Raw genomic sequence first — 12933 nt, 5'->3', positions numbered from 1 at the left:
AGCCAACCAGATCTAATGGACATTTAGAAAACATTACACCCAATAACACCAAATATACATTCTCTTTAGGTGCACATGGAGCATTCTCCAGAATAGGCCACATGTTAAACCATAGAACAAATATCCGTAACTACAAAATAATTGAATTTGTAAAAAGTGTGTCCTCCTGTCATAATGGAATTGAGTTACAAATCAATAATAAAAGGAAATTTTTGAAATTCTTAAGTATGAGCAAACTAAAGAAAAATATTCCCAATAATCACTGGATCAAAGAAAAAAATCAAAAAGGCAACTAGAAAATAATTTGAGATGAATAATAATAGAAACACAATACACCAAAATTTATGGAATGCAACTACAGCAGTGCTCAGAAGGAAATTTATAGCTACATTTTTAATATATAAACTTATTTATTTAAAAAAAGAAAGATAACAGATCAACAATCCATGTTTTCACTTTAAGAAACTAGACAAAGGGCCAGGCGTGGTGGCTCATGCCTGTAATCCCAGCACTTTGGGAGGCCGAGGCAGGCGGATCACTAGGTCAGGAGATCGAGACCATCCTGGTTAACACCATGAAACCCTGTCTCTACTAAAAATACAAAAGAAAAAAAAAAATTAGCCGGGCGTGGTGGTGGGTGCCTGTAGTTCCAGCTACTCAGGAGGCTGAGGCAGGAGAATGGCGTGAACCCGGGAGGTGGAGCTTAAAATGAGCCAAGATCACGCCACTGCACTCCAGCCTGGGAGACAGAGCGAGACTCCATCTCAAAAAAAGAAAAAAAAGAAAGAAAGAAAGAAAGAAAGAAAGAAAGAAAGAAAGAAAGAAAGAAAGAAAGAAGAAAGAAAGAAAGAAAGAAAGAAAGAAAGAGAAAGAAAGAAAGAAAGAAAGAAAGAAAGAAAGAAAGAAAGAAAGAAAGAAAGAAAGAAAGAAACTAGACAAGAGCAAACCACATACATGCCAGGCAAATAGAAGGAAGCACATGAAAATCAGAATGTAGATAAATGAAACAAACAACAGAAATTCAATCAAACCAAAAGTTGGTTCTCAACATTACAGACAAACCATTAGCTGGAGTGATCAAGAAAAAAAGGGAGAAGATTCAAATCACTAGAATTAAGACTTTATAGAAATAAAAAAAAAAAGAGTATAAGGGAACACTATAAACAACCATAAAGCAACACATTATATAACCTGGATGAAATGGACAACCTTCAAGAAACACACAAAAAGGAACAGGTAGTCTACTATAGCAAGTAAGGAGATCAAATTAGTAATTTTAAAACTTAGAGGACAGGTTCAAGATGGCCGACTAAAAGCAGTGGCAGTCAGAGGCTCCCATAGAGAAAAACCATAATAAGCGTGTGAATCCTTCACTGGCAACCAAAGTATCCAGGTTCTCTCATCAAAATTGACTGGGAGGCAGTGAGTGAGCGGGCTACCCAGCAAGGGAAACTGTGCTTTTTCCACGGAACTGTGCAACCCATGGATGGGAAGTTCCCACCCTCAAACCCATGCCACCTGGGCCAAGCGTCCCAACTCTGGAATCCACAGATTCTTACAGTCTCTCAGCTGGAATCTGCTTAAGCCCACCGAACTCCCGAAGGGAGGGGTGACCAGCACCAGCTGCAGCTGCCTGCTGTCTAAAGGTTTGAGCTTCTTGGGGGAGGGGCAGCAGCCAGCACTGGGACTCATAACTGCCTAACACACTAAGCTCCCTGGGTGGGGGAAGGGTGGTGCCCGTTTCTATAGCTCCAGGCTGAACTTTTCTCCTGCTGGAGCCAGGGAGGCTGAACGGCTTGGTCCCAAGACTTGTCCCCACAGCCCAACACACCAGCTGTGGCAGTCGGCAGCCAGAGTGCCTCTTCAGGCCTAACCCTGATCCATCCTTCCTCAGTGGGTGGGGCTTCCCTGCAGGATCTCCAATAACTCCAGCCAGAGGCTCAGGGACAGAATTCAGATCTCCCTGGGCCTGAGCCCCTAGGGGGAGGGGTGGCCACAGTCTCTGCAGACCAGCAGACTTAGCCTCTCCTCCTGGTAGTTTTGAGGAATCCAGGCAATCCAGAGTAGTGGGTTTCCCCCCAGCAAAACACACCCTCTCTACCAAGGGACAAAGTGCTTCGTTAAACAGGTCCTGCTCCCCATGCCACCCAACTGGATGAGACCCTCTGACAGGGGTTGCCAGACACCCTATGCAGGAGCAATCCTACTGGCATCAAGTTGGTGCCCCTCAAGGTCAGAGGTCTCAAAAGAAGGAGCAGGCACCCATCTTTGCTGCTCTCCAGCCTCCTTGAGTGACATCTCCAGGAACGGGAGTGAATCCCCAGCAAACTGCAGCAGCCCTATAGAAGAGGACCTGACTACTGAAAAACAAATAAGGAGAAAGTGACAACAATAGCATCATCATCAACAACAACAAAAGTGCCCCCACAAAAACTCCATCCAAGAGTCAGCAGCCTCAAGACTGAAACTAGACAAACTCACGAAGATGAGAAAGGATCAATGAAAAAATGCTGAAAACACAAAAAGCCAATGTGCCTCTTCTCCTCCATATGATCACAACATCTCTCCATCAAGGGCATAGAACTGGGCAGAGGATCAGATGGACGAACTGACAGAAGTACACTTCAGAAGATGGGTAATAAAAAAACTGTGATGAGCTAAAGGAGCATGTTCTAACCCAATGCAAGGAAGCTAAGAACCTTGATAAAAGGTTAAAGGAATTGCTAACTAGAATAACCAGTTTAGAGAGGAACATAAATGACCTGATGGAGATGAAAATCACAGCATGAGAACTTAGTGAAGCATACACACGTATCAACAGCTGAATTGACCAAGTGGAAGAAAGGATACCAGAATTTGAAGACCACTTTACTGAAATAAGACATGCAGACAAGAATAAAGAAAAAAGAATGAAAAGGAATGAACAAGGCCTCCAAGAAATATGGGACTTCATAAAAAGACTGAACTGAAGATTGATTGTAGTACCAAAAGCAGAAGGAGATGGGGAGAATGGAAACAAGCTGGAAAACACATTTCAGGATATTATCCAAGAAAACTTCCCCAACCTAGCAAGACAGGCTGACATGCAAATTCAGGAAATACAGAGAACACCATTAAGGTACTCCACGAGATCAACCCCAAGACACATAATCATTAGATTCTCCAAGGTCAAAATGAAGGAAAAACTGTTAAGGGCAGCCAAAAAGAAAGGCCACATCACCTACAAAGGGAAGCCCATCAGACTAACAGCAGACCTCTCATCAGAAACTCTACAAGCCAGAAGAGATTGGGGGCCAATATTCAACGTTCCTAAAGAAAAGAATTTCCAACCAGAATTTCATATTCAGCCAAACTAAGCTTTATGGAAAGGAAAACCAGTATCAGCCACTGCCAAAACACACCAAAATATAAAGACCAATGATATTACAAAGAAACTCCATTGACCAGTGTGCAAAATAACCAAATAGCATCAGGATGAAAGGATTAAATTCACACATAACAATACTAATCCTAAATGTAAATGGGCTAAATGTCCCAATTAAAAGACAAAGACTGGCAAATTGGATAAGGAGTCAAGATCCATCAGTGTGCTGTATTCAGGAGACCCATCTTACGTGCAAAGACACACACAGGCTTAAAATAAAAAGATGGGGGAAAATTTACCAAACAAATGGAAAGCAAAAAAACGCAGGGGTTGCTATCCTAGTCTCTGACAAAACAGACTTTAAACCAACAAAGATCAAAAAAGACAAAGAAAGGCATTTATAGTGGTAAAGGGATCAATGGAGCAAGAAGAGCTAACTATCCTAAATATATATGCACCCAATAAAGGAGCACCCAGATTCATAAAACAAGATCTTAGAGACCTACAAAGACACTTAGACTCCCACACAATAATAGTGGGAGACTTTAACACCTCACTGTCAGTATTAGACAGATCAATGAGACAGAAAATTAGTGAGAATATTCAGGACTTGAACTCAGCTCTGGATCAAGGGACCTGGTGGACATCTACAGAACTCTCTACCCTACACCAACAGAATATACACTCTTCTCAGTGCTACATGGCACTTATTCTAAAATCTACCACATAATTGGAAGTAAAACACTCCTCAGCAAATGCAAAAAAAAACTGAAATCATAACAAATAGTCTCACAGACCACAGTACAATCAAATTAAAACTCAAGATTAAGAAACTCACTCAAAACCACACCATTTAATGGAAATGGAACAATCTGCTCTTGAATGACTCCTGGAGTAAATAAAGAAATTAAGGCAGAAATCAAGAAGTTCTTTGTAACCAATGAGAATAAAGAGACAATGTACCAGAATCTCTGGGACACAGCTAAAGCAGTATTAAGAGGGAAATTTATAGCACTAAAATCACCACATCAGAAAGCTAGAAATATCTCACACTGACACCCTAAAATCACAATTAAAAGAGCTAGAGAGGAAAGAGCAAACTAATCCAAAAGTTAGCAGAAGACAACAAATAACTAAGATCAAACCAGAACTGAAGGAGATAGAGACACAAAAAACCCTCCAAAAAATAAACGAATTGAGGAGCTAGTTTTTTTAAAAAAAATTAACAAAATAGATAGACTGCTAACCAGATTAATAAAGAAGAAGAGAGAGAAGAATCAAATAGACACAGTAAAAAATGATAAAGGGGATAGCACCACTGACCCCACAGAAATACAAATGAATGACCATCAGAGAATACTATAAACACCTCTATGCAAATAAACTAGAAAACCTAGAAGAAATGGATAATTTCCTGGACACATACACTCTATCAAGACTAAGCCACAAAGAAGGTGAATCTGTCAATAGACCAATAACAAGCTCTGAAATTGAGGCAGTAATTAATAGCCTATCAAACAAAAAAAGCCCAGACCAGATGGATTCACAACTGAATTCCACCAGAAATATAAAGAGGATCTGGTACCATTCCTTCAGAAATTATTCCAAACAATTGAAAAGGAGGGACTCCTCCCTAACTCATTTTATGAAGCCAGCATCATCCTGATACCAAAACTGGGAAGAGACACAACAAAAAAAGGAAAACTTCAGGCCAATATCCCCTGATGAACATTGATGTGAAAATCCTCAATAAAATACTGGCAAACTGAATCCAGCAGCACATCAAAAAACTTATCCACCACGATCAAGTTGGCTTCAGCTCTGGAATGCAAGGCTGGTTCAACATACATAATCAATAAATGTAGTCCATAAATGTAATCAATAAATGTAATCATCACATAAACAGAACCAAAGGTAAAAACCACATGATTAGCTCGATAGATGCAGAAAAGGCCTTCAATAAAATTCAACATCTAAAAACTCTCAATAAACTAGGTATTGATGCAACATATCTCAAAATAATAAGAGCTATTTATGGAAAACCCACAGCCAATATCATACTGAATGGGCAAAAGCTGGAAGCATTCCCTTTGAAAACCAGTACAAGACAAGGATGCCTTCTCTCACCACTCCTATTCAACATAGTATTGGAAGTTCTGGCCAGGGCAATCAGGCAAGAGAAAGAAATAAAGGGTACTCAAATGGGAAGAGAGGTAGTCAAGTTGTTTCTGTTTGCAGATGACATGATTTCATATTTAGAAAACCCCATCATCTCAGCCCAAAAATGTCTTGAATTGATAAGCAACTTCAGCTAAGTCTCAGGATACAAATTCAACGTGCAAAAATCACAAGTATTCCTTTACACCAACAATAGGCAAACAGAGAGCCAAATCATGAATGAACTCCCATTCACTATCACTGCAAAGAGAATAAAATACCTAGGAATACAGCTAACAAGGGATGTGAAGGACCTCTTCAAGGAGAACTGCAAACCACTGCTCAAGGAAATAAGAGAGGACACAAACAAATGGAAAAATATTCCATCCTCACAGATAGGAAGAATCAATATCATGAAAATGGCCATATTGCCCAAAATAATTTATAGATTCAATGCTACTCCCATCAAACTACCACTGACATTCTTCACAGAATTAGAAAAACTATTTTAAATTTCATATGGAATCAAAGAAGACCCCATACAGCCAAGACAATCCTAAGCAAAAATAACAAAGCTGGAAGCATCATGCTACCTGACTTCAAACTATACTACAAGGCAACAGTAACCAAAGCAGCATGGTACTGGTACCAAAACAGAAATATAGAACAATGGAGCAGAACAGAGACCTCAGAAATAACACCACACATCTACAACCATCTGATCTTCAGCAAACCTGACAGAAAACAAACAATGGTGAAAGGATCTCCTATTCGGTAAATGGTGCTAGAAAAACTGGCTAGCTATATGCATAAAACAGAAACTGGACCCCTTTCTTACACCTTATACAAAAATTAACTCAAGATGGATTAAGGACTTAAATGTAAAACCCAAAACCATAAAAACCCTAGAAGAAAATCTAGGCAATACCATTCAGGACATAGGCACAGCAAAAATTTCATGATGAAAACACCAAAAGCAATTGCAACAAAAGCAAAAATTGACAAATGGGATCTATTAAACTAAAGAGCTTCTGCACAACAAAAGAAACTATCATCAGGGTGAACAACCTAGAGAATGGGAGAAAATTTTTGCAATCTATCCATCTGACAATGTTCTAATATGCAGAGTCTACAAGGAACTTGTATTCTTAAATACAAGAATAAAAAAAAAGACTTCATTAAAAAGTGAGCAAAGGACATGAGCAAACACTTCTCAAAAGAAGACATACATGTGGCCAACAAACATATGAAAAAAGCTCAACATCACTGATCCTTAGAGGAATGCAAATCAAAACCACAGAGAGACACCCTCTTGCACCAGTCAGAATGGCTATTATCAAAAGGTCAAAAAAATAACAGATGCTGACAAGGTTGCAGAAAAAAAAGAATGCCTTTACACTGTTAATGGGAGTGTAAATTAGTTCAACCATTGTGGAAGACAGTGTGGTAATTCCTCAAAGACCTGGAGAGAGCAATACCAATTGACCCAGCAATTCCATTACTGGGTATATACCCAAAGGACTATAAATCATTCTGTTATGAAGATACATGCACACAGATGTTGATTGTAGCCCTACTCAGAAGGGAAAAGATACGGAATCAACCTAAATGCCCATCAATGATAGATTGGATGAAGAAAATGTGGCGCATATACACCATGGAATACTATACAGCCATACAAAGGAATGAGATCATGTCCTTTGCAGGGATATGGATGGAGTGGAAGACATTATCCTCAGAAAAGTCATGCAGGAACAGAAAAGCAAACACCACATGTTCTCACTTATAAGTGGGAGCTGAATGATGAGAGTACATGGACACATTGAGAGGAACAACACACACTGGGGCCTGTCAGATGGCGGGAAAGGGTCAGGGGAGGGAGTGCATCAGGAAAAATAGCTAGATGATAGGATGATCTGTGCAGCAAACCGCCATGGCAGAAATTTACCTGTGTAACAAACCTGCACATCCTGCACATGTACCCCTGAACTTAAAATAAAGGTTGAAGAAAGCAAAAAAATGCCACGATGGTAAAAAAAAAAGAAAGAAAGAAAAACCTACAGCTAATATTACACTTAATGGTAAAACACTGGATACTTTACCCCTAAGATTAGAAACAAGACAAAGATGTCTTTTATTAATTCTATTCAGCATTGTACTGTAGCTTCTAGCCAAGACAAGAGAAAAAAAAAAGTCATACAGATTGGAAAGAAAGTAAAAGGTCTTCTATTTGCAGATGATGTGATCTTTTATATGGGAAGCCTAAGGTAACCACGTGCACACAAAAAAAAATGTATTAAAACTAATAAATGAGTTTAGCCATAGGGCAAGCTACAAAATAAACTTAAAATAATCAGTCGTATTTCTATACACTAGTATTGAACAATATGAAAATAAAATAATCACATTAATAATAATATCAAAAAGAATAAAATACTTAAGAACACAGTTCAATATAAGATGTGTACATCAAAACTACAAAATATTATAATAGAAATTAAAGAAAATCTAAATAAATGGAAAGACTCCCATGTTCATGAATTGGAAGATAATATTATTAAGATAGCAATTTTCTCCAAATTGATTTTCAGATTCAATACAATCTCTGTCAAATTCCCAATTCACTATTTGCAAAAATAAACAAGCTGGTCCTAAAATTTATATGAAAATGCAAGGGACCCATAATAACCAAAACCATTTTGAGCTAGAACAAAGTTGGATGACTCATATTTTTCAACAGAACTACACTACTCAGGACAATGTACTGGCATAAAGATGAACAGGCAGAGTAATGGAATATAATTACAAGTCCAGAAATAAACCCACAACTTTAAAGTCAATTGATTTTTGCCAAGAGTACCAAGATCATTCAGTGGGAAAGAATAGTCTCCTCAGCAAATAGTGTTCGGACAACTGGATATCGTCACACCATATATAAAAATTACCTTAAAATGGATCATAGGCCTAAATGTAAGAGCAGAAACTAACAAACTCTCTAGGAGAAAGCACAGGAGTAAATATTGCTTACCTTGTGTTAAGCATTGGTTCCTAGATAAAACACCAATAGCACAAGCAATAAATAAATAAATAAATAAATAAATTGCATTTTATCAAAATTAAATGTTTTTGAGCTTCAAAGGCCATCATTAAAAAGACAAAAGACAGCCTATAGAATGGGAGAAAATATCTGCAAACCATATATCTGATAAGTAACTTGTATGCAGGCTATATAAAGAATTATTACAACTCTACATTAAAAAGACAAATAATCCCATTAAAAATGGGAACTATATTCCAGTAGATAGTTCTCTAAAGAAGATATGCAAATGAGGCCTGACGCAGTGGCTCATGCCTGTAATCCCAGCACTTTGGGAGGCTGAGGCTGGCAGATTGCCTGAACTCAGGAGTTCGAGACCAGCCTGACCAATATGGTAAAACCCCGTCTCTACTAAAAACACAAAAAATTGGCCATGCATGGTGTCTCATGCCTGTAATCCCAGCACTCTGGGAGAGTGAGGCAGGCAGATCACCTGAGAGGTCGGGAGTTCAAGACCACCCTGACCAACAATGGAGAAACCCCGTCTCTACTAAAACTTCAAAATTAGCCAGGTGTGGCTATAGGCGCATGCCTGTAATCCCAGCACTCTGGGAGAGTGAGGCAGGCAGATCACCTGAGAGGTTGGGAGTTCAAGACCACCCTGACCAACAATGGAGAAATCCCGTCTCTACTAAAAATACAAAATTCGCCAGGCGTAGCTATAGGTACATGCCTATAATCCCAGCTGCTCAGGAGGCTGATGCAGGAGAATCACTTGAACCCAGGAGATGGAGGTTGTGGTGAGCCGAAATCACACCATTGCACCGCAGCCTGGGCAACAGGAGCGAAACTCTGTCTCAAAAAAAAAAAATTAGCCAGGCGTCGTGGTATGTGCCTGTAGTCCCAGCTACTGGGGAGGGTGAGGCATGACAATCACTTGAACCCAGGAGGTGGAGGTTGCAGTGAGCCAAGATCCTGACCACTGTACTCCAGCCTGGGTAACAGAGCAAGACTCTGTCTCAAAAAAAGAAAAAAAAAAAGATATGCAAATTGTCAACAATCACATGAAAAGAGGTCCTGCATCATTACTCATCGTGGAAATACAAATCAAAAGCACAGTGAGATACCACTTTGCACTCACTAGGATGGCTAAAGTCAAAAAGACGAACAAGTGCTGGTGTGGATGTGGATAAATCTGAACCCTCATTCACTGCTGGTGAAAATGCAACATGGTGACACCACTTTTAAAAACAGTTTGTCAATTCTTCAGTTAAACAGAGAGTTGTGATATGACCCAGCAATTCTACTCCTAGGTATATGTCCAAGAGAAATGAAAACATACGTCCACACAAAAAACTTACACACAAATATTCATAGCAGCGTTATTCATCCTAGCCAAAAAGTGGAAGCAACCCAAATGCCCATCAACAAGTGAATGGATTTTACAAAATGTGGTATCTCCATGCAATGGAATATTATCTAGCAATGAGAAGGGAGGTACCGATACATGACATGGGTGAACCATGAAAGCACTATGCTAAATGCAAGAAGCCAGGCACAAAGAGCCGCATATTGCCTGGGTCCATGTTATTGCCTCATATGTTTATTGAGTGACTTCCGTGTGCCAGGTGCTGTTCTTGGTCCTGGGGATTAATCGCTGAACACAGTAGACTTGATGGCTATCCTCCTGAGGCGTTCGTTCTAATGCAAGACAGATTTGAGATGGATGCTTGTGCACATAATTAATTCAGTAGAATTAATTGCAATTGTGATATGCACTAACAGAGAAGAGCAAGGGACTATGTCTTTGCCTGGGAGGTGGGGGAAAGCTTTGCTGAGAAGGTGACTCAATTGCATGTCCTCCTCTTTTTTTCACTTCACAGCATATTATAAGCATTTTCCCAAAATTAAAAATTCCTTATGCACATCATTTTTATGTCTGCATCATCCACTACTTGTGGTTGTGTCTCGCCATCCCTGAACAATGGGCAGGCTGTTTGTTTCCATTCTTTTTCTATTCTTCATACTGCTTCAAGAAACTCCTTTATGTAATATCCATATTCCTCATTACAGCTTAAGGATAAATTCCTACCAAAGTAATTACTCAATCAAAAGGCAGCTGTTTTTTGTTTTTGTTTTTGTTTTAAGATGGAGTCTCACTCTGTTGCCCAGGCTGGAGTGCAGTGGCGCGATCTCGGCTCGCTGCAACTTCTGTCTCCCAGGTTGGAGCAATTCTCCCTGCCTCAGCCTCCTGAGTAGCTGGGATTACAGGCGCGTGCCACCATGCCCGGCTAATTTTTGTATTTTTTTAGTAGGGACGGGGTTTCATGATGTTGGCCAGGGTGGTCTTGAACTCCTGTCCTCAGGTGATCTGCTAGCCTCAGCCTTCCAAGTGCTGGGACTATAAGCATGAGCCACCGCACCTGGCCAAAAGATAGTTTTTTAAAGCTCTTCGTATGTATCACCAAGTGTTTTTCAGAAAGATTGGTCTGCACCTGCCCCATCCACACCACACCCACACACCATAAACTGGAAGTTTCTCCTCGTTTCTCTCTCCATCCAGTGCTAGCAGCTGCCCAGCCCTCCTGACAGCGTCATTCCATCTCTGTGAAGGGACTGGAAAAAGGGCCTCCTGCTAAGTGTCACACATGGGCCCCAGCTGTACACTAGAGAGTGGGAGAGAACACATCTGACAGCCTGGACACCTCCCAGCTGTCAGTTCAGCATAATTGGAGCTCAATGCCAGATCTCAATGTATCCAACCATCTTCTGCATGACTCTTTTGCCCCTTTTTTCATCTCTATTTTTGGTGTTGCTGTGGTTCATTTACTAGTCCTATAATAAATCATGCAGTGATTGCCACAAGTTTTAATATATAAGATTTGCTCAAATTCAAGTAATTTGATTTCAGAGATGACTCACTTTGTTTTCGAGCCTCAAAGAATGACATCAGGCAGGCTGGACTTTGGATCTCAGGTCTTCAGCTCCATAGTTTTAGAACCTCGGGCAGGTGCACCTCCTCACGTCTATGAGTTTCTGAAAATGTAGATAGCCCCTATTTAACCACGGGAGTGAGGCTTGTCTCAGAAAACACGTCCACCGCCACTGCCTGGCAGGTGGTCCCGTGGGACATGCTAGTTCTCCTGTCCCTGCTCTTCTCTCCCCACAGCCCACAGGATGGGGCATCCATGCGTCCTCCGTAGGCAAGGAGCCCCTGCAACTTTTATGCAGAGTTACAGTTGCTGTCACACCATCAGCCAACACTCTTCCAGGGAGCTCCTACCGGGGCACAGAGCTGTTGGATTATCCATGGTCATGCATAATCGACACAAGGCACAGCCCCGGAGATGGTTAAAATCTTCTGGCACTAGCAGGGTATATATGAAACCTAAACAGCCAGTTCCGAAAAAAAGTTTTCAGAGGGGTCCTCGACACTGGGAAAGCTGCCGGGTGAGGACAGACAAGAGGCCAATGTGAAGTCTCTTTTTCCATTTTCCTGCTTGATTTTTCTGCTTGAGACTTAACCATGATAAATCCTGGAATACTCCTTATTTATCTTTGTTGTTTTCCGTCTCTCCCCACTAGAGGGCGTGCTCCATGAGGGCAGGGGTCTTCGCTTTTCTCTCTGCTGCATCCTGAGCGCGGCTGGGACTTTTTGACTCTCGGTTAATATTGACCGAATGAATAAATGACTAAGTCAGCAGTGGAAGCAGGAAAAAAGGCATGCATGTGTATTTTTGGAGAGAAAAAGGGAGGTTTGCTGGAAGCAGAGGAGCTCTGTCTCCTTTTTTTTTTTTTTTTTGAGACGGAGTCTCTCTCTGTCGCCCAGGCTGGAGTGCAGTGGAGCAATCTCGGCTCACTGCAAGCTCCGCCTCCCGGGTTCCCGCCATTCTCCTGCCTCAGCCTCCTCAGTAGCTGGGATTACAGGCGCCCGCCACCACGCCCGGCTAATTTTTTTTGTATTTTTTAGTAGACACGGGGTTTCACCGTGTTAGCCAGGATGGTCTCGATCTCTTGACCTCGTGATCCGCCCGCCTCGGCCTCCGGAGCTCTGTCTCTTTGGGGTGCACAGCTCACTGCCCCCCAGAGTCTCCAGGGCCGAGGGTCAGGGATGTGGGTTGAATTGCAGGACCTCAGCTTTAATATGCTTTCCCGTTAATATGCTTTCCCGTCACAGGGAAACGGACTCCACCCAGACTGACTGTGGGATTGATTTCTAGGTCTTTTTATCTTTGGGGGTCAGGTGAAGAGATGGAAAAAGTTAATATATGTTGCATTTCAGAAACAAACTTAGGAAAAAGTTCTCTGGCATTTTCTAGCCATATGATGTGTATACATAGCCTAACATCTTTTTTTCTTCCATTTCTGTATCTGT

At 41.0% G+C, this 12933-nt stretch overlaps 1 annotated feature.

Moving 5' to 3' along the window:
• Positions 1233 to 1745: an enhancer, noted in NCBI's record as "H3K4me1 hESC enhancer chr2:129523559-129524071 (GRCh37/hg19 assembly coordinates)". NCBI's record gives its function as "activates a minimal SCP1, AML or CMV promoter by ChIP-STARR-seq in naive and primed H9 embryonic stem cells {active_cell/tissue: H9 hESC(naive and primed)}" and the evidence as "EXISTENCE:reporter gene assay evidence [ECO:0000049][PMID:30033119]".

Source organism: Homo sapiens, chromosome 2 (genome assembly GCF_000001405.40).
Source record: "Homo sapiens chromosome 2, GRCh38.p14 Primary Assembly".
NCBI classification, from domain to species: Eukaryota; Metazoa; Chordata; class Mammalia; order Primates; family Hominidae; genus Homo; species Homo sapiens.
Note: the sequence above shows the minus strand (reverse complement) of the source record. Positions and strands in the feature narration are given on the sequence as shown.